This window comes from Homo sapiens, chromosome 10, assembly GCF_000001405.40.
Source record: "Homo sapiens chromosome 10, GRCh38.p14 Primary Assembly".
Classification (NCBI taxonomy): domain Eukaryota; kingdom Metazoa; phylum Chordata; class Mammalia; order Primates; family Hominidae; genus Homo; species Homo sapiens.
In genome coordinates this window covers 119,359,631-119,384,507 of record NC_000010.11, presented here as the reverse complement: position 1 = coordinate 119,384,507, position 24,877 = coordinate 119,359,631, and the positions used below count along the sequence as shown (strand labels likewise).

The window sequence follows — 24,877 nt, the reverse complement described above, 5'->3', positions numbered from 1 at the left end:
CCTCGCCCATCATCAGATACAGCTATATCCCCACTTACAGATGAAGACACGAAGTACACGAGGGGTTAAACACCTGCCCATGGTCTCACCAACAGATGGTGGCAGAGCCATTTTGTCTTGGCATCCTATCTCTGGAGGCTGCACTCTGCATCATGCACCTCTGCCAGCACGGGGCAGCAGTGTGGCTCAGGTGCATGTGAGAAGCAAGCACCCACAGCAGAGGGGCACAGCAGGAGAGAGAGGAAGAGGGAGATCGGGAGGGCCTCTGAGAACAGGGGACAGAAGGACAAGTAGGCATTTGCCAGGCAAATGGGACTGTGGGGAGGATTTCAGGCAGGGAGGCCTGAGGGAGCTAGGGCCAAGAGGCTTGAACTGTCCTGGCAAGTCAGAAACGCCAGAAGTGGGTGGTCGGGCCAGAACACAGAGCTGAAGAAAGACTCCGGGAAGGCCAACGGTGAAAAGGTGGGCAGGAGCTGATGCTGGAAGATCTGGTAAGTCAGCCTCGGAACCTGGACTTTATCCTAGATGTCATTACTTCCCAACCCTGGATACACATTAAACCCCTGGGAGCTTTGAAAAATGCCAATAGGTGCTAGAATCGATGGCCTAGTGGTAATAACCCTTGTGCCAAACTGTGGCCTGCAACTGCTATGTCCCAGTAAAAGGAATCACAGCTCCTCTGAGAAACAATGGATCTAGTACAAGATGAGCCCAGAACCCTGCGTCATATCAGACAGCAAGGAGACTACTGATAACTGCTGGAGCCCAGCCAGGGACTCAGAAGCCAACCTGGAGAGGCCCCCACTAGCCACTGATGAGACGATGAGCATCAGTCAGGATAATGACTACAGTGCAACAATACACACGCAACATGTTTAAAACCACAAGTTAAAAATAGTTACTGCTACTGGAGGATGGTAGTGAACCAGTTTGGTATTTTAGAAACATTAATGCGAGAAAAGAATCAACCATTTCCTCTATGAACTTTACCACTGGGTCACCACATGGTCATCAAAAGGAAGTGCCTCTGTTGGCAAATGAAGAAGGAATGGCAGAATTAGAATGTTGCCATGTTGCAAGCCCTTGTTAATTAACAGATTCAGGTACAGACTAGCAATAGCTGCTACCATTTCAAAAAGAAAGACAACCAGATGGTGTATGTCCCCTGATGGAAGAACATGAAACCACTGAGGAAGTCGAATCCCACTCCACCCTGCAAAAACGGAAACCGAATTTGGTCAAGTTTCTAGATCCAACTAGCAACGTATAAGAAATATAAAGGAGCCAGGCCAGGCGCGGTGGCTCACGCCTGTGGTTCCAGCACTTTGGGAGGCCGAGGTGGGTGGATCACGAGGTCAGGAGATCGAGACCATCCTGGCTAACACGGTGAGACCCCATCTCTACTAAAAATACAAAAAATTAGCCGGGTGTAGTGGCGGGCGCCTGTAGGCCCAGCTACTCGGGAGGCTGAGGCAGGAGAATGGTGTGAACCTGGGAGGCGGAGCTTGCAGTCTGCTGAGATCGCACCACTGTACTCCAGCCTGGGCAACAGAGCGAGACTCCATCTCAAAAACAAAAAAAAAAGAAAGAAATATAGAGGAGCCTGTTAAATGACATTTAGGGATAAGAATACAAAATTCAGACTGTGGGAAGCTCTTCTGTAGGAACAACAAATGTATTACAAAGGGGGATGGATGGTTATGGGGGAGCCTAGAGTCAAGAAAACATCAACAGATCACAACGTGTGGACCTTAGCCAGACCAGTTCAAACAAATACACATAAAATGTATGAGAACACTGGAAATCTGAATACTAACATTTGATGATAGGAAAGAATTTTTTAAGCTGTGATAGTACTATTTTTTAAAGAGCTCTTATTCAGAGATACATAATGAAAAGTTCACAGATGAGATAATATGTGAAAATTGCTACAAAGTGTTACAGAGTAAAGGATGGAGGAATGGATGAAAGAAGATTGGCCATGAGTTCATAATTGTGGGTTCATAAAGGTGGGGTGAAGGGTGCCTGGGGGTTCATTACACTATTCTGTCGACTTTTACTTTTTATAGCTTGAAATTTTCCATAATAAAAAGTTATTAAAATACTAGGCCCCACCTCCAGAGATTCAAATTAATTGGTCTGGGCTTCAGCTCAGGCTCTGGTGTGTTTTTAAGGCTCCCCAGGTGTTTCTAACGCCCAGCTAAGATTGAAAACTACTGTAATCACTCACACAAGAGGCGCCAAGAGCCTGCCCGAAGCCCAAGGCAGAGCCTCCCCTAAGCCCAAGGCAGAGCCTCCCCTAAGCCCAAGGCAGAGCCTGCAGAGGGGAGGGAGCTGGCCTGGGCAGGGTCAAGGAGCCAAGCACATGAGCCTGATCAGGTTGGGGAAGGACGAGGAGGGGAAGGCATCAAAGAGTGCAAAGATTTCAGGCTCGGGTGACTATAGGGTGCTGGTCACTGGAACAGGTAATGTCTCAGGGCTGGTAGCTTTGGGGTCCTGGGAGAAAGTCCTGAGTGCATTTGGGACTTACTGACTTTAAGGGGGCCTTTGTGACTTCAGTGGAGATGTCCAGTGGGCAATTTGGTTTGTGGGTCTAGAGATGCACATCGAGATCTTGAAGCAGATACAGAGACTTGAAACCCTAAAGGGTTGTCCCCCAAACTGAGATAGAGGTCGGGATGGCTGCAGCCAATGGTGGCATGAGGGCCCTTCAGGAAACAGCAGCCTCTCGGCCCCTGCACCTGGCGGGGAGGGGAGGGGCCTGGATGACTTCACACCCTTCATGACCGCTCTCCACTCCTCTTCCTTCCCTCTTGTCCTCCTTCCTCGGATAGAAACCCAAGGGCAGTTGGCTGAACCGAGGTGCCCAGGCTCCCCGGGCAGGTGCAGAGGAACTCCTGACTATTCCCACAACCTGTCTTAAAAGCCCATGCAATCAATCAGCATTTGTTAAACAAAGAATAACAAGCACATGTGAAGGAAGACTCCATGGTGTCAGGCATGTCATCCATGCCAGAGCCCAGTGGAGCCATTGGTGTCAGACCGGCTTGACAGCCATGTGCTTCATTTGACATGTATTGAGTGCCCATAGATTCTGGGCACTGTGTGAGGCAGGTATGAACAGGAAGCCCAGGGTCCTGCCCTCAGGGAGCTTGCATTCTAATGGGGAAGCAGACAATAAACAATTGTACAAACAGACAAAAGCTTTGGAATTCTATAAAATGGGTTCTCAGCTGGAGGAAGGGGCCTTGAGATCCAAGAGCTAGGCCTAACTTCCCCAGGCACTGCCTCCCATAATAACCCAGGCTTCCAGAATCAAAGAGCTGATAGGGCTCCACTTTATAGCAATAGCAACTAAGGTCCAGAGGGGAGGGGGCCCACCCAAGGTCACCCAAGGTCACCCATGTGTTTAGATCCTCAGACAATTTTGCATTCCTAATCAAAGTCTGTAGTGGGAGTTTTGTAAGCAGTGAGTTTATTCCTCAGTCTTCTAACCCATGAGATCTATTTTTTCCTTTGAGCCAAAACAATCACTGATCACAGAGGACCACAGGACCATCCCTCAGGAGCAGGAACTTACCACGGAGTCCAGGAACTGAATGTAACACTCCAGCCCAGGCCTGGTTTCACAAAACTGCCGGAAAAGCAGCCTCCCGATTGGCTGCTTGTCACATAAACTGCAGTAATCTCTGTCTGGAGACAAGAAAAGAAGAATGTGATGAGACCCAGGAGAAGGCCAGGCAGGGCCTTCCTGTCATTCCCACACCTGGGCTCAGAGCCCTAGATGGATGGAGGAAGGTGACTGGCAAACTCTCAGAACGCCTTCTTCATTTCATGGTCTTCACAGACTCAGAGAGACGTCAGTGTAGAAGAAGGCACCAGTGATGACCCAGCCTCTACTCCCCACCCCACACCCCCAGTCCAATGCTCTGATTTCTGTATGGACATGCCAGCAGTTCTGGGGACTGTGATTCCATCTCCTTGGTGGCCATTAAGCACATCACATTCTCTGATTACAGTGACTGGATAAGGGTGGCAGGCCTGTAATGTAAGCCAGTCGAATCAGAGTGGACTGCAGACTCCCTGGGAACACTGGAGCAGAGGTGCTCTCTTCCTCTGGAGGTCATGGTGAGTGGGTGTGAAGCCAGGTGCTGCAGCAGTGTTCTTGACACTGCAAGAAAAGCCGCGATGAGGATGAGCCTGACACATCAAGGAGGTGAGAGCTGGGAAATTAGAAGAAGTAGAGTTGGTGCCCTGGTGATGTCATGAATCTCTGGATCAAACCATGCCTGTAGCTCAAACCATATCTGAAAAGCTGATTTATGAGACAACACATTCTCCTTGTTTAGGGCAGTTTGAACACTTTTAGAAATTACTTCTAATTCAAAGCATCCTAATGGATACAGTTTTTAAAAATCATTTTTGCCCAACTGGAGAAAAGCCCAGTCTTAGGATGCTTCAAATTATGAAAACCCTGACTTTTCCAGTTAGGCACTAAAGGCACAGAGACAGGAAGTCACCCGCGCTTACCCACTCAATAGCCAAGAGGGTTCTGAAGAGGAAATACTGCAAGACTCCCACCAAGAGGCCCAGAGACCATGGTGTTAGCCAACAATTTGCTGTGTTACTTCAAGCAATTCACTTGCCCTCTCTGGGCCTCTGTGTTCTCCTCTGAAAACAAGAAGGGCATGCTGGAGTTGGGATGGGGGCCCTTTCCCTTTTGGTTCTTCCTGCAGTGATGCTAAAGCCTCTCCAAGAAGTTCTCTCTGGCCAGGAAGATACTCGAAGGAACCACTGAAACATGCTGTCTCAGGCTCTCTGGAGCACGGAACACTAGGCCATCGATGTTGCAGCTGCACGGGACACAGTCGGATGAGTTCGTGGGAAACAGGGAAGAGGGCGATAGAGCCTGGGAAGGACAGCAACTTGCAGGGAAGGGATGACTATAGTCTACCTGGTGTAGAGGAGCTAAGACACCATCCCCCCTAGAAAGGATTTCTCTTGAGATACGCCAGGCAACAAGGGGATATGAACACAACCACTGCGCTGGCACACTTTGATTCTTAGTCTCAAAATGCTTATCCACAGGATGTAAAGCTATGGCTTGCCGGGAGGGAGGATCTCGTGGTAGCTGTGAGTGTCAGTGTGGGCTCTGGAGCTAAACTGCCTTGGTTTGAATCCCAGCCCATCGCTCACTGCCTGTGTAACCTGGGGCAACAGGCTTGACACTGCCCCTCAGTTGTCTAGTCTGTAAACTGCGGACGGTAAGCAGACCTAACTCCTAGGACCGTCCCGAAGAATGAATAAGACAATACATAGAAACCACTCAGACCAGATGCTGGCACATTAATAAACCCCATTTCTCATCGTTATGGATGTGATAATTTGGTCTGTTCCATCTCCCTTTCCTTTAGGGAACCTCCTTTCTCCCAGTCTGCACCAATTCAACCCAAGCCTCTGAATCTAAAAGGGGAGCTGACGCCTCCCATGCTACGGAGACAGGCACGTGACTCAGTCACAGCCAATCAAAAGGCCTCTGTCTCCTGGCCACAGTGCTACGGTCACGGATGGACACGTCACTTAGTCACAGCCAATCAGAGGCCTCTCTCTCTGGCCATAATGACAGGTTCAAGGGTGGCCATGCCTCAGTTCTAGCCAATCAGGTCAGGGCCTGTGATCCGTGGGGGCCCCGGAGTCCTCCCAGGGCTTTTGCCAGAACTTCCAGGAAAGACACTGTCTGTTCCCTGGGATGCCAGCAGGGTTCTTGGGGATGACTGGTCAGCCGAGGGCTGCTGAGACCGCCTTCCCCCCACGCAGCGAGAGCCCACGGAGGCGCAGCCCGCACACAAGCGGAGATGAGCGGAGAGAGGAGCCCTGAAGGCAGCCCGCCCTCCCGGGCATTTATTCACCACACGGGGACACGGCCTCAGCACTCCGCTGTCTGCCTCCTGGAACGGAAAGAGCCGCGGCCAGGCCCCCTTCTTTCATGGGTAACCTACCTGAGGGCAAGGTTTTTTTGGGAGGAATTCGCCCGGTCTAAGTAGCGTATGTTGAAGAAGGCACTCTAAAACGTTTCATTCTCTCCCGAGTGAGTATTTGGATCAGCATGGATGAGCAACCTGCCAAGTCCCCTCTTGGCCCACTCTCAAATGGTTTTGTGGCTCCAACTAGCCCTGGACTGCAGCCTAAACTCTGCCCTTCAGCCGTGGGCGCAGTCTCCACCGCTCCCAGCACAGATGGTTCACAAATAGCCACTCCAACAAGCATTTAGCCTCAGTGTGTGCCAGGTTCTGACGGGGAGGGGTACCTAGGGATGTGGTCCCAGCCCGCAGGGAGCTTGGACTCAGATTGGAGAGGTCAGCAGGAGTGTGTGTGGGTGAACAGACAAGATCTCAAATGACAGTAATAAAATGTCAAGCTAGATGAGTGTGATCATCAGCCACAGTAGGGAACCTGGTCTCAGCGGCCTGTGACAGGTCTGCAGCCTGCACCTGTTAGCACAATGCCCTGCAGATACAGCCTGCATTCCCGTTGCCTCCCACTCAACACAATCCCCCAAGGGGAGGAAAACAAATCTTTGCATCCTTTCCCAATCAGTTTTTCCCAGCACAAACACAGAACCAAAGTAAATTACCTTGTGTCAAATTCCATTTTTATTCAATTATGGGAGAGAGCACCATGCTGCTTATGTGATTTAAGCAAGGTACCCCTCTACCCCCACCTTTTCCAAAAGCAGTTTTGAGATTTCATGTGCCATATTGTGATCCCTTAAGGGTTCATTTGACAGATTTTTTTTTCTCTCCATATGGCATTTGCTGTCAGTATGGAAACAAGGCCGTTATAAACTCCCAGCACAGTAAACACCATGCGATTCCAACACAAGCTGTCAGCACCTCAGTTCCGAGCCTCTCCCAGCTGTAGAGAGGATCCCAGGCAAAAAAACTACTCGTTGGAAGCCTAGAGAGAAATAAAAGGACCAGTAATGATCTTTTTAGATTTCTTTCTTCACCTCAAATCAAGATCAATGGGTTCATTTTCTGAGCAAGCACACACACAAAAACAAAATCATCCCTAGTGCAACATTTACAGTTCCTATAGAAATGGATAAGGAGGCCACAGAAGGAAGAATACGAATTTGGGAATGATCAAGGTGACAGGAGGAGGCGCAAATCAAAGTTCTTGATGTATCAAGAGCAAACCCGAGGTATAGGTTGCTTCTGGAAAGTCAATGACATTGAAGTTGGAAGCATGAGAAGTTCTACGATACATGCTTGGAGTGGACCCTTTCGGATCTGTTTCAACAGAAGCTGGCAATGTTGTTGAAATCCAGCTTGGAAGGGGGCCTGCCCACAATCTTTCTCCAAAGTGTGGTCTGTTGGGGTTGGTGAGGAGAAACACCTAGGACAAGGGCAGAAGACTTTTCTCTCTGTCTCCAAATCTATCTTTAGGGGTGGGAGAACACTGGGATGCTGTACACACAGGCACACACACACTGTCCACACACACGCACGCACATACACACACGCACGCGCATGCGCACTTGCTCTTCTAGAACATGGAACTCCTGCTTTCCATGTGCCTCATTGATCTTTTCCTCCAAGCCAGAAAGAGGCTGCTTTATGTAAGACATTTGGGAGTAGTGGCCAGGCACGGTGGCTTACGCCTGTAATCCCATCACTTTGAGAGGCCGAGGCGGGTGGATCACCTGAGGTCAGGAGTTCAAGACCAGCCTGGCTAACATAGTGAAACCCTGTCTCTACTAAAAATACAAAATAATTAGCCAGGCGTGGTGGCAGGCACCTGTAATCCCAGCTACTTGGGAGGCTGAGGCAGAAGAATGGCTTGAACCTGGGAGGTGGAGGTTGCAGTGAGCCAAGATCGTGCCATTGTACTCCAGCCTGGGCAACAAGAGTGAAACTGTGTCTCAAAAAAAAAAAAAAAAAAAAGGCATTAGGGAGTAGGGTATGGGGAGCTCCTCGGCCCCTAAGTATCCACAAATCATCCAGCCATTCTAACTTTGCTATTTTGGGTCCTTCATTCACTCAACAAACTCTCTTCTGAGGTCTCCTGCTTTTTGATACTAGAAGTTTCCTTTGATGTTAAGGGTATCTTCTTGAACTCAACACGTGGGGATATGTGGGTGGGTCAGTGGGAAGGGACACATCTTATACCCACTGGCCGGTTACTGATCCAGCAACAGGCTTGGAATTAACAGCTGGCCAAGAATGGAGGACATCATCTCTGTGATGTGACATTTGGAAGAGGAAGGTGACTGGGAAAGGGGAAGGGTCTAGAAAGCCCATCATAAGCTGCAGGGCACTGAGCTGTGCCCTTGACTAAGGAGCAGAGCACCCTGGGAGGGGCTAGGCCTACTTATGCACACAGGAGGGTGCTGGGAGATACACTGGGAAGGCAAGCTGGACTCACACAGGAAAGGGCTGGACTCTCAGGCCAGGAGTCTGGAATGGATTCAGTGTCTCACTGGTAAATCAATAATTTAGAGCAAAAATGATTCACGTGCAGTCCACAGAAAAGGGGACAAAAATGGGGTGGCGGCAAGTCTGAGACATTTACAGAGGAAGTCATTGGTTTGGGAGCTATTGTGGCCTGTGGGCTCAGGCCCCAGCTTTTGGGCAGGGAGGCTACCAGCTCCTGCGGCTGGGATCCTGCTTTGGTGAGCAGCTGGACTGAACTGGCTTCAAGAAAACGACATGTGTTGTTTGTTTCTTCAAGGGATTGACACTCCCCACCTCCCCGGCATGCCCACAGCTGGCCTGGGAAGGCGGGATTGCCACACCTTCCTGCAACACACTGAATTCCAGCCTTGCGCTCAGACAGAACCATGTCTACCCAGCAGGCAGTCCCTTTAGCAAGGTACCAGACACTTGCTTAGTCCTTGTCCTTAGCAGTTTGCTCACTGGCCAGTGTGAGAGGGAGGCACATTCATGGATAACACTGGAAAGAGAAGCCACATAACAATGTCTATGTAACAAAACTGCATAAGTCAATTGGGAAGTGTCCTGGAAGGTGTCGTGGCAGAGGGGGCAAGACATCCTCTCATGATGCTGGGTCAGTTTCAGGGGTGGTGGCCATGGAGAGCACACTAGAATATGGGAATGAGCAGACAATGCAGGCAGGGGGAGAAGCTGAGTCCAGGTGAAGAAGAGGGAAAAAGGTCAAAGCCAGAGAGAATGGGGCTTGAGGCTGGGAGGAGGGGCAAGGAGAAGCTACAGTGGGGAGGTGAAACCTCCAGGTGAGATGCCAGGAGGACCTGCAGGGTGTGCTGAAGTGTGGGAGAAGGTGAATTAGGACAAGAATTCTGGGCTAGGTCTGAGACCACCATAGGATGTCACTGAGTGGATCTTCAAGACTGTCCTAAAGAAAACAGACAGAAAGTGGTAGGTCACTCAGGGATGGGAGGTGAGGCGTGAAGGGGCGAGAACCAGCAAGTAGTGTTAAGTGAGTGGCCAGCAAGTGTATTAGGCCATTCTTGCATTGCTATAAATACCTGAGCCTGGTTAATTTATTAGAAAACACGTTTAATTGGCTCATGGTTCTACAGGCTGTACAGGAAGCATAGCACTGGCATCTGCTTCAGGGGAGGCCTCAGGAAGCTTACAATCGTGGTAGAAGGTGAAGCAGGAGCAGGCATGTCACATGGCCAGAGGAGAGTTGAAGGGGAGGTGCCACACTGCAACAACCAGATCTCACAAGAACTCACTATCACCAACAATGCCCTCATGACCCAAACACCTCCCACCAGGCTCCACCTCAACATTAGGGATTACATCTCAACATGAGACTTAGGCAGGGACAAATATCCAAACTGTACCAGCAAGTACACTTCCTTGGTAATGAATGTAACTGGCTGAAAATCCACATGCTAAGACACATGCACATACAATAAGCAACACACGTCTTGGGGGCCTGGGCACAGCCAACTCACTTCCAACTCTGCCCTTCCCAGGACAGGGCTCACACTTGCCAAGTTGTCAGCCAACAGAGGGTACGTCAACCAACAGAGGGCACAGCAAGCCAAGGGGCCCCTGTCCTCACCACCTTCACCTGGTGAGGTTTGGGTGCTTGGGAGAGACCTCGCTTGCCTCTTAGCCTATTCTCATTGTAAGCCACTAAAGATACCACACCCCAGGCCTGTTGCCAAGGACACCACAGTGGATGAGCACTGGGCAGGGGTCGGTCTCAGCTCTGCCATCAATTCTCTGTGTAACCTTGGACAAGTCACTTCCCCTTTCTTGGTCTCAGTTTCCTCATCCATAAAATAAGGGGGTTCGAATAATAACCTCTAAGCCCCTTCTCAACCTGCAAACCTTCTTGGCATGCCAGCTTCACAAATGCAGATGATTACAGGGACTTAGACCAGATTCCAAGATCAACCTTGGAGGTCAGTTTCAACCAGGATTCCAAAAACTGTTTCCATCCAACCTCAATAGGGATTCCTGATCTCGCATCTCACCCCCTGGTTCTAAGGCAAGGGTAGGCAAACTTTTCTGTAAAGGGCTAGTGGGAGATATTTACTACTAGCCATATGGTAGTAGTTTGAGGGCCATATGGTCTCTTTCACAACGATTCAGCTCGCTGTTGTAGTGAAAGCCTCCGCAGACTACGCAGGCACACTCGTATTATTGCACTTCACTTTATTGTCTTTTGCAGATATTGCATTTTTTATATGAATTGAAGGTTTGTGGCAACCCCGTGTCGAGCAAGTCTATCCGCACCATTTTCATTTCCCCAACAGCATGTGCGAACTTCCTGTCTGTGTCACATTTCAGTAACTCTCAAAATATTCCACCTGGGAGCCTACTGAAAATGCAGATTCTCATTCCCCCCACCCCACTTCAGACCTACTATATTAGTCTGTTCTCATGCTGCTAATAAAGACATACCTGACTGGGTAATTTATAAAGGAAAGAGGTTCACTTGACTCACAGTTCCACGTGACTGGGGAGGCCTCACAATCATGACAGAAGAGCAAGGGACGTCTTACATGGTGGCAGGCAAGACAGAGCGTTTGCAAGGGAACTCCCCTTTATAAAACCATTAGATCTTGTGAGACTTATTCACTATCATGAGAACAGCATGGGAAAGACCCATCCCCATGATTCAATTACCTCCCAACAGGTCCCTCCCACACATGTGGGAATTATGGGAGCTACAATTCAACATGAGATTTAGGTGGGGACATAGCCAAACCATATCACCTACTGACTGAATCAGAATTCCACTGGTAGGGCCCAGAAATCTGTGTTTTAACATACTCTCCAGTTTAAAGCAGTGCTTTTCCAGCTATCTATGGAAAAGAACCAGTTTTTTAAATTTCCAATCCATCACGGACTGATACTTTTGTAAATCTCCATTGTTCCCAACTTTCCACGTGAGTCTGACAACAGCCAACTGCTTTATCACCTGTTCCACAAGATGAGTCCACTGATCACACACCTGGATGCTACAGCCACAACGAATTGCTATGAGTGTTTCTAAGCATCTCTGTACTTATCACAGACCAGTAAAATCAGTCCACGAACCACACTTTGAACTGCTCTAGAAACACAAGGTCTTGTATTCCTTTCTTTGGAGAGTCATCCCTTCCCCTATAATAATTCTTTGGGTGAGGCCAACACCAAGCTCGGAGATGAGCACAGGGCCCAGGCCTTACCAATCTGAGTCTTTACTTGAACATTTTTTGGCACTCTAAGGAAAGTTACTTTTTCTTTATTTGAAGCCTTTAACTCTTAGGACCATGTAAGCCTGGAGTTGCTGGTGGCTATCTTGTGGCCATATAGAAAGAACCTGTCAGAGAATGAAATCAAAACTGTAGAAAGTAGAATAATAAATAGTGTCCTGATGATGTTTGAGACCTGGATCCAGCCATACCTGAAGCTATGAGATTTACCCCTGGACTTTTCAGTCACATAAACCAACAGACTTCCTCTAACCCTTAAGTTAGTTTGAGTTGGGTTTCAGTCCCTTGCAATTTATTGGTGCTGAGTAATAAGCCTTCAGATATAATGAGTATCTGGAAGACTCAAAATGAAAACCTATATGCAAAGGCTTTGCAGTAAAGTGCTACACTGTCAGGACACCACAGCAAGATGGGGCAGTACTATTAAAGAACTTCTGTCCTCAGCCTCCACCACGAAGTTGGATCCTCATGAATATTCTAGAATGCCTATATCTATAGCTGATTAGTACATAGTTCAGAAACACCAAAGCACTACCACGCTGCCTGGATCCTAAAGGCAAGCAGGGTTGCCTTGCTTGGGTGAGGACTTCTTCAGAGCTAGCACAGGGTGGCGAACAAGCACAGGCTTGGGTCTGAATCCTACCTCCATCCCCTAGCTCAGAGGTTTTCAGCAGCGGGAAATTTTGGCAATGTCTGTAGACATTTTGTGTTATCACAACTGTGAGGTTACTACTGATTAGTGGGTGGAGGCCAGGGATGTGCTAAATACCCCACAATGCACAGGACAGCTCCCTGCCACACATAATTATTCTGCTCCAAATGGCAATAGTGTCTCCACAGTGGAGCAACTCTGGATGGCTGTGTGGTCTTGGGCAAGTCCCTTTACCTGAGGCCATCAGAGTTAGCTGGTTGCTGCCGGGGATTGGCAACAACGCATGTGAGCACCTGGCCCAGCCTCAGCACACAGTAGGTGCCACAGAAACAGCAGCCACTGGACAGATCCTATCTCCTCTATCAGACTCAGGAAATGATGGGTTTTACTTCTCCGATGACTGAGAAAGGAGATAGGAGGTAGCTGGTGAAAAAGGAACCTTGACTCTCCATTAGCACCAAAGCAGGCAGGAGTTCCCCACTGTCACCGAGCCCTTCGGCCCTGAGCTCCGGGAGGGCAGGGCAGGGCAGGGCCATGCCAGCCTGCTTGCTCTTCCTTCAAGGCTCCTTCTCGGAAGCAGGCCACATGTGTCCCACCAGCACATGCCCGAGGTTCAAATCTCATAACCCAGTCAATTCCTTCAAGACTCATACCCCCAGCGGACTGAGAAACAGGAATGATATTGATAGTTAAGATAAATAAATGCTGTCACTGTTTTCATTCTTTTCGAGTGACATGAAATGGGAACATACTTTCTTAATTAAGAGCCTGCAGTATGTGGACTCTTGGAGGGCAACCAGAGTTTCCCAATAGGAGGTGGCGAGGACACAGGCAGTGAGGGCGGCCCAGCTTCCCTCGGATGGCCACGGGGCCCGAGCACAGCCAGGCCCTCCCACCGGGCTAGGGGAGAGTGGGCGGCCATCCCTGGGGACGGGGAGCGGGGAGAAGCTGCAGCCCGGGTGCGGGGAGGGCTGTCCACCCCACTGAAACCTGCTTGGGACTGTGTGCATTGTTGCCCCAGGCACTCCTAGAGCTCGGGCCAAGGAAAACACACGTTCAATTTCAGAAGTAAGAGCAAGGACGGAACGCGGCTTCCTGAGGAAATGGAAATGCTAACACTGGGGCTCTTGGAAATGAAACCACATGTTGATTGTAAAGGTTGTGAGGCTGGAGTGGGGCGGGGGGGTGGAAGGAGGGGGGTGTCCAAAGGGATGCCTGGAACCATCTCTCCACCAACTGAAGGTTTATTTTATTTTATTTAACTTCATTTTCCCAAAATACCAGGTTACGGGGGGCTGTGGCAGAGAAGGGGGTCCCTGATAGATCCTAATGCAATTTAGGAAATGGACATGGGGAGAGAGGATCAGACAGAGGCTGCCAGCCCTCTACTCTGCCGTATTTCAGGTTTGAAACAATAAACAGAGAAGTGATTCGAAAACAGCTTTCTCTTAAAAATTCCTGCCAAAGCTGGAAAAAACAATCGGGCGTTTGCTCCGAGGAAAAAGCTCTCTGACGTTTGAAAGGCGAGATGGCATCACGGATAACAGCAGAGCTTCCCAGCCCGCCCCTTGGAAGGCGCAGGAGAGGAAAAAGGAAACATTTGGTATGTGGTTAGCAACAGCTGAGTGGCCTTCTATTACTTCAAGAAAGATGTTTTTGTGTGAATAAAAAATGACATATGGTGTGTCACACAAACACACCCAAACCAAGCCCTGCCATCTTCCTGTGCCATTCGTCCCTCTCGTTCTGGGCTCTAGTTTTACGGAATGTCTTGTGCTTGTCACATGTTTCTGTGGGATCGAAATTATTAAGCCCAAGTCTCACAAAGTTTGGTGGCACTTGGAGAAGCCACATGTGAAACCACTGAATCGCAGGGTGTCTGGGCCTGGGCTGCCAGGCAGGGGAAGTGTGGCGGGGACAGTGGGGAGGAAAGAAGGCTCTAGGCTGTGGGTCTGTGGAAGGAAGAAAAGGGTGGGTGGAAGGGTGCTTGTGCGGGCCCCTGCCTCTCTGATGAGGGTCCAGGTCTCTGGCTTGAACCCATCAGATGCAGTCAGGGAGGTATCCAGGAGTCTGGGGAAGGGCTGGGGGCTGAGATGGACAGGACATGGACTATACCATCACCATGAGCAGTAATGGAGCTGCCAGAGTCCGGCAGTGACCTCTATCACCAAGGACAAAAAAGGCAAACAATTTAGATATCTCCTTGCAGTGGGAATGGGCAAAGAACTGGCTGGGTAAACGGAGGGTCAGGGGTGGGGGTGGACTGAGGGAACGGCAGGACCACTTGGCAGGTAGATCCTGATGCTGGACAGGCAGTCGCTGGAAGGGGCCTGGCATATCGGAAAGAAGGTCCAAAGCACTGTGCTCTGAGCCCTCTCCTCTGCCCGGAAGCCCGGCAGGCTGACTGCAACCTCCACTTTTGTGCTAGCCTGGGGACACCAAAGAGGCGTCCGCAGAAAAGGCACCTGGCGCATCAGCAGTGCTGGTGCTTTAAGAGCCGGGGCAAAAAGGAAACACACCCATGCGTGACCTGTGGTTGTTTCTATTTTTCCATATTTTTGAGTTTTTACAAATGAGGGGAAAACAGCTCTCCTAAAAGCACAGCTGCAAAATCACTGAGATCAGGAAGAGCCTGGAAAGCAAAGAACTGTGACTGCCAGACAGCTCTCCTTTCCGTGCGGGGCCTGGGGAATGCGCAGCTGCTCAGAAGAACTTCGGGTTTGTTTTACCCTGCGTGGCCTGTGGCGGGACCTTCCAGTGAGCCGGGACGGGGCACCTGGGACAGCCTTGGTCAGTGATGACCACTGTTTGTGTCTTGAACACCCAGGGCCTTTCCTCACCTGTGCTCCGCCTAAAAGCACCTGGGACACCATCCACTTAGAAGGACATTCTTTCTACAACCTTTTTTCTCCTTGTAAAGAAATTTCATCCAGATACATGCAGTTTTAGAAAGTGAAACTCCTAGGCCACACCCAGACCGACTGCATCAAATCTCCAGGGCGTCAGTATTTTCTTAAAAAGCTCCCTAGGTGATTCCAACACTGCATTAACTGTAAGGTCCAGTTCACCATTTTATCCCCACCACCTGGATCAGTGCCCGGCCCAGGCAGGAGCACAGGTGTTTATCTAAAATGAATGAATGATTGAACAAACCAACAAACAGATCACTGTGACAGGGAGGCCACACGCTTCCAAACTGGGGAGTATATATCTCCAGCCCACGTTCTCCTGATGCTCTGCCAGAAGTGAAGGCCTCCCTGAACCAAGTAGATGATGAGGGCTGTGCCTAAGGTGGCTTCTGTCCAAGGCAACGAAAGGGTCAGCATGGCTCCCTGGGCTCAGGTCCCTGGGCGGAGGCAAGGCTGGGCCAGGCTGCCTGCTGCTCAGAGCTGCAGCACAGTAAGCCCAGAGCCCCCAGAAGTGAGGCGGTCTGAGCCCAGGGGCCCTGCCTGGCATGCCCCTTTCGAGAAAGCACATCGGTGCATGGGACTGGGGCTAGGAGATTGGGCTTTGTGTCCAGCTCCACGTCTGACCCTGCATGACCTCTGACCCATCATTCTTCTCTCTGGACCTTGGTTTCCCCTTTTACAAAATAGGGCTGATGAACAAGGGGGGCTTAAATGCCTCCCATTTCGGTAGCTTCACAGTGGGGCTGTGAGCCTGGTGGGAATGGAGACATCACAGGGCATGGGGCCTTTCTCCAGCGTCAGAGCCCCAAGGAGGGTTCACCACTGCTGGGGATCTTTAAACCCACCCAGCTGCCATCCCCCGCCCCCAGCACCACCCCGCACCTGCGACGTGGCAATACGGCTGGAGCAACACAAGCATGAGTTTAAAGGCAGCATTTCGCAGAGGCCTGGGGCTCTGAGGGGCGCCAAGGAGCCCTGGCTTTCATTTCAGGAAATCTGGGAGTCTTTACTTCCGCTCAGTGCCTCAGTCTCTCCCAAGTGCATTTCAGGTTGACTTCACATGGCAATGCCCAGCCCATCCTTCCTGCACGCTGCCCTGGCCTGCCAGGGAGGACTGGGGGCCCATCTTGCCTTCCAGGGCCCGGGGTCTGGCTTCCCCTGGAGCTATGAGCTAATCAAGCAAAAGCCACGGAGGGCCGGGCCAGGAAACGGCTGGGCAAGCCAGGGACCAAGGCAAATAGCAGCTTCCAGGCAGACCTGGCTCTTCCTGCCCTGGCCCTGCCGAGGCGCCTGGCTTCTTCCTGGGCCACTGGCCGGGGTCTAGCGAGGATCACGGCTGTGCTGGCCAAAAGCAGCTGGAGAAATGAATGCCTCGGAAGGTGGAGGCAACTGATGGTCTCCTGAAAGTCCTGATGTCTCAGGGTCCCAAGACCCCCAGCCACCCTTAATCCTCCCAACATGATCCCCATCAAGGGCTCAGCCAGCCCTGGCGTGTGCACTCACAGGGACAGGAAGCACTTCACCTGCAGAGCATCCAATACTCTTTATCAACACCATGCTGTGAGGCCATTCCCATTTTGAGACCAAGCCTGTCTTTCTGTTATACTGCCCTTTGGCTGTCATTCTTGGGATGTAGAGGACAAATGTTTGAAAGCAATTATTCTGTGCTCTTAGAGTCTTAGATACAGCTCCGATTCTCCCAGCCAACCATGTGACCACACCCCAACCCTGTCTGCCCAAGAACAGGGCGCAGTGGGTTTAACTCGCTGGGACCCAATCTGGGTCTTTGGTGATTAAATGTCAAATGACATCAACTCTTGCCAAGCCTCCTTCCATCTTTGCTCAGCTTGGCCCCAGACTCAAGAAGGGCTAGGCTTCGTGTCCTGAAGGAGGAAGAGATGGGTGTTTCACAGGCACACGAGCTCACCAATGCCCACACTCCAGATGAGAGATGGGGGAGAGGCACATTGCTTCAGCAGAATCTAACACAGGGAAGGCTAGAGCTTAGCAGAATTCTAGCTCGTGGTGTCGGGATTTTCGACACGGATCTTTAGAGTTTGGTAGAGCTGGTTTTCAGAAAGACATGAGCTTTGGTTCAGACACTGGCCTTTCCACTTTGCCACCTGATGTATTATAATAACAATAATGGAAACAATAGCAACTGACATGAATGAGGTGCTTCCTGCGTACCAGGCACAATGCTAGGCACACTACATGCATGTCTCATGCAATCCTCACAACAGCCTTCCAGAACAGGTGCTATCATCAGCCCACATTTTAGATGCCTAAAATCGAGACACTGAGAAGGAAATGGCACAAGGTCACAGGCTAGCAAGAGGCAGAGCTGGGATGTGAACTCAGCTCTTGCTGACAGCAGAACAATTATTCTGCATCTTTTAACTTTTAAGGGATCCATGGCAGCAGCAGACAAAGACTCGGGACCCTGAGAGGTGGATGACATCACATCAGTGGCACCATCTGGCAACCTCTAGGGGTCCACGGTGGGGAGGAGGCACCCCTGTCACCTAGATGTACCAATGACCTATTGGTCAATCAATTTCCTCAGGTCCAGGGGTGCTCCAGCCTCCAGGATAGAAAGACATGGGAAAGCTGTGGCAGCTTTGGGGCTGGCTATCAACTGGGCCTCAACATCTAGTGGCTGGGCCAGGAGAATGATCTGGAATGCCCTTTCTTCCGTTGCTCTTCCCAAAAAGAAAAGCTGAGCCGAGTAGCTGCCCCCCTCCTGCCCTGAGTTCCTTCAGTTCTGTGAGCTGCACCACATGTGTGATCATGTAACTGATGTGCTGTCTCACACCTTCGCTGGCTATCCTGAGAGCTGGCCTTGCCTCCCCAACTAAGCTGTAAATTCTCTCTCTCCTCCGCCACCCCCTTTGCCTCCCCTGTAGAGCCCAGGACAGTCTGGACACTTATGAGGTCACCAATAAATATGCAATTGATGAAAGCAGGAGCAGCCATGAGAAAGCTATTCACCAGGATCCTGTTTACACTCCTTTTGTCAAAACAAATCCGTTGCTCCTTAAGGGTGTGTCTTAAAGTCCCCGGGGTCCAGAAGTAAATGCTTGGCTTTAATAGGGTGTTGGAATTGCATTTCACAGCACATTCCTGTGCTGAGACCTACACCAGGGCAAGTCCTTAAGCCAACAGGACAGAAGCCCAAATGGGGTGGACCCGACTTGGAGCAGTCAGGGACCAGGTCGCTTAGTTCCCTGCACATGTTGGCACCCAGCATAGAACCTGGCACAGAGCCGGGGTGCAATAACGTTTGACCAGTGAATGAATGAATGAATTCATGACCCAACACATCAACTGCAGCTGATGGCTGCATCATAACATACTTGTTTCCAAATTTCTCCCTGTGCTGGCCCAGGCTGTGAACTGCTACACAGGAAGCGGAGTGCCTTGTCTGCACTGACATCCTCATCCTTTATGGCCCAATAACGCCAGAGCCTAAGAAAGGGTGTGTTGAGGGGAACATAGTCATAGAGCTTGTAGAAAACCGAAAGGAAAGCTAGTCTGATGGCCTCATCTTCCTGGTGGGGAAACTGAGGCCGGGTAGGGGAAGGCTTTTGTCTTGTTCATCACCCCAGGGCATGCTTAGCCTCCTGCCTAGCTGCTCTAAGCCCTACATCATTATGAACAGCGTGGGGAGGTCCTTTATTAAAATTCAAAGACCCTCACCGAAGGGTCCCACCCAAGCCTGGCATACAGACCCTTATTCAGGTCTTTCCAAACCCCCTCCCAGGACCTGGCATTTTAACCGCCATGAAGCATAGCTGCTTCTGTCAGCCTGAAGGCCTGTGATCGATGCCACACAGGTGTTTCATATAAATCTTCAAGGGCTGTCTCTGCAGAGAGCCAAGTAGACGTTTTTTAATCATCAAGAGGGGGAAAAAAGCAACATGCCTCATGCATTTTCATTTTTATCTAAGTAAAAGAGCACAATCAATTTGTCAGCATGCAATACCACTGCTTGCCAAATACCACTTATTTTAAACTAAAGCTTTCTCAGCTATACAAATACAGAATACAAGCATGGAGAACCTAAAACATGTGCGTTTCTCTCCTTCTTTCTTTCTTTTTAAAGAGTCCCACATATTTCATAACTGTCTAGACCTTGTAAGCTCTGTCTCAGCCTGGGGCGCTGCTGCTCCGTGTTAATGCTTTTCTCTTCCCTCCAACTGCCAGGCTTGAAACAGGTCTGTAACTGACGCTAAACCTGATAGGTAGCTCCTCAGTTACTCAGCACAAGAGAGATAACTGGGAAAAAGAAAAAAAAATAATTAGGATGATCAAAGAATATGATTGTGGTGAAACCCTTATTTCTAACTGGTCTAAAAATGTAACCCATAACAGCTGTTTTAAATTACTCCTTGCCAAGAACAACATTCAGATGATTGAAAAATTCCAAACTGGAACCTCTTATGCTTACTTATTTTTCCTTCTGCGCACCTGCATGGAGAAAAGCTTTGCTCAGAAAATACAGTCACAGAGACAGGCAAACTTTAAACTCCTCATATGCAGTATGCTGCCTTTGAAAGCCCTTCAAGGATGCCTTCATGGGGGCCCGGGGTTCTGAAAGGTCAGACCGTAACTGCATTTTGTACTAGATAAGTCAGGGCCAGCTAAAGTGGGCAGCTGGGGTACAGCAGGAGGGAGGCAGAGACCCTTCCTTGCAGACAGCCTTACTTGGGGGCAGCAGCTGACAAACACGGACCTACAAGCAGCTGCAACCAAATTCAGAAAGTATATGGCATGGCCCAAGCAACCACCACCAGGACAGAGATTCAGTTCCTCCCAAAGGTGGCTTCTTAAAAAATTTCCATTCTGGAAGCAAAGCTCACAGATGTCCTTCAATCTTGGGGTTAAGCCCTGGGAGCCAAAAGGATACCCTGAACCTCTGGTCCAGCCCAAAGCAGTTGCAGAGCTCCACCCCCAAGGGAACCCCTCCAGACCCAGCTGCCTTCTGGCTATTGGTGTCTCAGTTCCCAGCCCCCTTAGATTCACATCCAGGTTTGCTCAGCTCATTGGGCTGGGGTTGGATCTGCAAGGCTGGCTCCCTCTCCCTCCCTTTCTTTAAGATGGATTTACTGAACCCTGCTTTGCGCCCTACACTGTGCTAGGCCCAGAGAATCCGAGGATCAGCAGAAATACCCGCCACCCCTGCCCAAGGATCTTGGTCTAGCTCCGGACTCTTCTTCCTTGATGCTGACCTAGATGTCCTCCAGGAGGAGGTAGTGAAGAGGGAGAGGCGTGAACCCATGCATAGTCCTCCTGGACGCATATCCCAGCTCCACCTCTGGGACAGAAACACTAGCTGTCACCCAATAGCTGTTCATCATGTTTTCTATAGTAATAGATCTCCCATTTTTAGCTCCAAAAGAAAGACTTCCCTGCCACCTCTGCAGCTAGGGGTGGCTAGGTGACCAAATTTTGACCAATGGAATGTGAACAGAAACAACAGATCCAAGTTAGTTCTGAGTAACACCCTTAAAGAGAAAAGGTGTGCCCCTTCTTCCCCTCCCAGCTTCCCTCTTCCCAGAGGCTAGAATGTAAACACAGTGGGCACCATCTTGGCCCATGTCAACGAGGGCAACATTGTAAGGCCAGAAAAAGACTGGGAACTGGGTGACCATGCAGACAGAGTTTCCATAGCAGCCCTAGTAGACCCCAACCCCAGCACTGTTCCATGAGGGACAAACCGGCTTCCACCTTGTTTAGGCCAATGTTAGTCTAGGTCTTTGCTACAGCAGCTGAACCTATACTCTGCCTTCTACAACCACGTACTAGCTGCATGACCTTTTCTCAGATTTACTTCCCTGGTCCTAGAATAGAAATAATAATAGTATGACCTATCTAGAAGGTACAGATCAATCAAGGCACTTAGCACAGCTCCTGGTGCAAGGTTCGTCCTCAGAAACTACTGTTTGTTGTTTTTTTTTTTTTTTGAGACAGTTTCACTCTTGTCGCCGAGGCTGGAGTGCAGTGATGCAATCTTGGCTCACCGCAACCTCTGCTTCCTGGGTTCAAGCGATTCTCCTGCCTCAGCCTCCCGAGTAGCTGGGATTACAGGCGTCTGCCACCACTCCCAGATAATTTTTTGTATTTTTAGTAGAGACAGGGTTTCACCATGTTGGCCAGGCTGGTCTTGAACTCCTGACTTCAGGTGATCCACCCGCCTCAGCCTCCCAAAGTGCTGGGATTACAGGCATGAGCCACCATGCCCAGTCAAAAAATACTCTATCCACTAACATCCTTGCCAAAATCCCCTATACCCACCTTCTTCACTTGCCAACCAGGAAAGAGTGTGAGCATAGGCTGCCAATAAGGGGTTAAATGGAACTGAGTGTTCACCAGCTTAGTCTCATCTACTAAATCTGGATGAGTTTCAGATGCTCCTTTGCCGTGGCTTGGGAGATACAGATGTTGCTTCAAACACAATGTACCCACCTGATCTTCAGTCTGACCCATGGGGCTATAATAAGGCTCCAAGGGTCCCATGCTTCTTGGGCAGCCCCAGCACTCAGCAAAGAGAGGAGTTTCCCAGAGGAATTAAGGTCCCCAAATCTCAAAAGCACGTGTTCGTATCTCAAGGTGGTGACCTGAAATGCAGAATGTTCTTCTTCCCTGTGAGACACTATTTAGTCTTCCTTCCCTGCGATATCCTGGATAAACCACATTGAAAGGACATTTTATGAAGAGTTATAGTTTAGATGCAGGAAGGCTCTGAAGTCAACAGAATGGTCTCTGCTGTCTATTACATAAAACAAACACCCTGGTTCCAGGAACTCGAGGCAACACATTAGGAATCACATTTGTTTTCCCAAGATGGAAGAGTTGCGCAAGACTGCCCTTGTCCTAGCCACATCAGGCCATTCAGACTCAAGTGTCCTGGGGTTCCCCAAAGGCACAGGCAAAGGGTGATCCTAAACTGGCCATGCCAGCACCTGGGATGACACTGACTTACTTACAAGGGACAGGAAGTTTGGTGGTGAGCATGAGCTTAATGCTCCAGGCACACCTCCAGCCAATCTTTGACCCCAGGCTATGGCTTTATCTAAATGATTAAACACCAGATTGTTACAGGGTTACTACCGGCTTCCTAAGAACTGACTTTATTCTTTAAAATATTATTCCTTCTTGTAGTAGCATCACCTCCAATAATCACTGAGTATGGAGGTGGGACAGCTTGCAGCTGGTGAGCACACTTCCTAAGGTCAAGGCTGCCTTTCAATTCTTTTTTTTTTTTTTTTTTTTTTTTTTTTTTGAGATAGAGTCTCGCTCTGTCACCCAGGCTGGAGTGCAGTGGTGCGACCTCGGCTCACTGCAACCTCCACCTCCCAGGTTCAGGCAATTCTCCTGCCTCAGCCTCCCGAGCAGCTGTAATTACAGGTGCACGCCACTACGCCTGGCTAATTTTTGTATTTTTAGTAAAGACAGGGTTTCGCCATGTTGGCCAGGCTGGTCTCGAACTCCTGACCTCAAGTGATCTGCCCGCCTCAGCCTCCCAAAGTCCTGGGATTACAGGCATGAACCACCGCACCCAGCCTTTCAATTCTGAACCCCCTCTGCGCCTCCCCCACTGCCGGGCACCCAGCATAGGCCCCTAGCCAGGATTCCTCTCACGTCTCCTCAGTGGCGTGCAGCACAGCTGTCCTTTGAAATCCGCTTGGCTGATTGCTTAATTAACTTCTTCCCTCACCTTCAACATAGAATTGGAGCACAAGTCCTGGTCTGTCTTATCCATGGTTGTGTGCCCCAGTGCAGAGAACAAGGCCTACTACGCGGCAGGTTCTCGGAAGTGAATGGATGAATGAATGAATGGTGGTCAGGGCTTGCTGAGTAAGAGAATGGTTGAATCATGATGGCCTCGAGGCCTCCCCATCTAGGCAGTCAGAAAGCAGCGAAGACCACCAGACATCCAAGTGGGGTGGGGCTTCTGCTCATGTTCCCGCACCAGGCGCCCAGACACTCCCAAGTGTTTAGCACCTGCCATGAGCCGCACCTCTGATGCGCCATTCTCTGCCTTCATTCCACTGTAGAGTGGACAGCACTGCCCGGTCCTGCTGGACAGAAAACCAGGGCACAGCCAGTTTAAGGTCTGTGCATTGCCCAAGGTCACAGTGCATCAGCGGAGGAGCTGGGATCTGCGTCCAGGTCTTTTTGGCTCCAAAGCCCACAGTACTCCCAGGGAGCCAGAGCCCACCTAGCCAGGAGACCTTCCCAGAGGCACCTGCTGTCCCAAAGAGACTCATCCTTGGGAATCAGAGGGAGGGAAAGGCAGCGACTAACACTTCCCTCAAGAGGAAACCACCGTTTCCCACCAGAGAAGCAGCGGCCACAGGCTCAGAACGCTCAGGGCCTCGGGCAGGAAGGGAGCTGTGTTCCCAGGGTTCCCAGCATCCCCACAGGGCCTGGGAACAGAGCATGACCCAGAGCAAAGGGCCCCGGGCCGGGTGTGGAAGAGGAGGAGGGAGGAGGGAGGAAGAGGACGGACAGACCATCTTCTCCTAACTTAGCCTCAAACACTTGACCATGGAGCTGCGAGAGGGGCTCCTCCCACTCACACAGTCTCCTCCCACTCACAAGTCTCTTCCCACTCACACAGGCTCCTGCCTCTCACACAGGCTCCTCCCACTCATACAGACTTTTCCCACTCACACAGGCTCCTTCCACTCACACAGGCTCTTCCCACTCACACAGGCTCCTCCCACTCACAAGGCTCCTCCCTCTCGCACAGGCTCCTCCCACTCACACAGACTCCTCCCACTCACACAGGCTCCTCCCACTCACACAGACTCTTCCCACTCACAAGGGCTGTGGCCTGAGCTCTGAGAAGCCACCCACTAAGCGCCTCCAGAATCCCACCCAGCCCCGTGTGCCATTCCAAGGCACAACTAAAGAGAAGCCAAAGGCACACTACACACCCAAGAAATGGACACAAGCTCTGGCTCTGCTTTGGGGCAGGGCTGGGCACTGTGGTCTACAGAGAGGAAACATGAGAAACAGGAAGTTCTACCCAAAGAGCAGAGTCCTTCAGCCTCCTTCAGCCTCAGCCTCCCTCAACTTCCTTCACCCCCTCAGACTCTTCAGCCTCCCTCCCTGCCTCCCTCAGATTCCCTCGGCCTCCTCAGCCTCCCCCTATCTCCTCAACCTCCCTCCACCTCCCTCAGTCTCCCTCCACCTCCCTCTACCTCCCTCAGCTTCCCTCCACCTCCTCAGCCTCCTCAGCCTCCCTCCGCCTCCTCAGCCTCCCCAGCCTCCTCAAGCCCCCTCAGCCTCCTCAATCTCCTCAACCTCCCTTCAGCCTGCTAGCCAGGTACCCACTACGACCTCACTCAGGACCTGAATTTGCCCCGGACTCTGCATGGGACTTGCTGCATGAACCCACACCTCCCCCCCGGGAACATCACTGTCACTCCAGAAACACAGGGATGGCAGAAACTTGAATGTTCTAAGTGTGGCAATGCACATTCCCCCGAACACCTGCATCCAGGGTGTGAACCAAAGAGGGGACAGATACCGGATGAGGAAGGCAAGCGAATTTATACAAAGGCCACTGTGTGAGATGCAGTCCCAACTTAGTTCATCTTAACA

The 24,877-nt window shown here is 50.5% G+C and overlaps 1 protein-coding gene and 1 non-coding gene across 2 annotated transcripts in view, besides 1 other annotated feature; both read right to left on the bottom strand.

Annotated features, from left to right (window-relative positions):
• GRK5 (G protein-coupled receptor kinase 5) overlaps nt 1–24,877 on the bottom strand; it is a 252,175-nt gene that overhangs the window by 75,238 nt on the left and 152,060 nt on the right. The window contains exon 3 of the mRNA NM_005308.3: nt 3,581–3,693. Within this exon, the coding sequence (NP_005299.1) occupies nt 3,581–3,693 (113 nt within the window). The remainder of the gene's footprint in view (nt 1–3,580; nt 3,694–24,877) is intronic.
• On the bottom strand, nt 6,465–6,536 carry MIR4681 (microRNA 4681). The gene has a single exon (NR_039829.1). It is a non-coding gene; the product is annotated as a microRNA 4681 (primary transcript).
• Nucleotides 15,062–15,381: an enhancer, noted in NCBI's record as "active region_4118". NCBI's record gives its function as "activates an Ori minimal core promoter by ATAC-STARR-seq in GM12878 lymphoblastoid cells {active_cell/tissue: GM12878}" and the evidence as "EXISTENCE:reporter gene assay evidence [ECO:0000049][PMID:35858748]".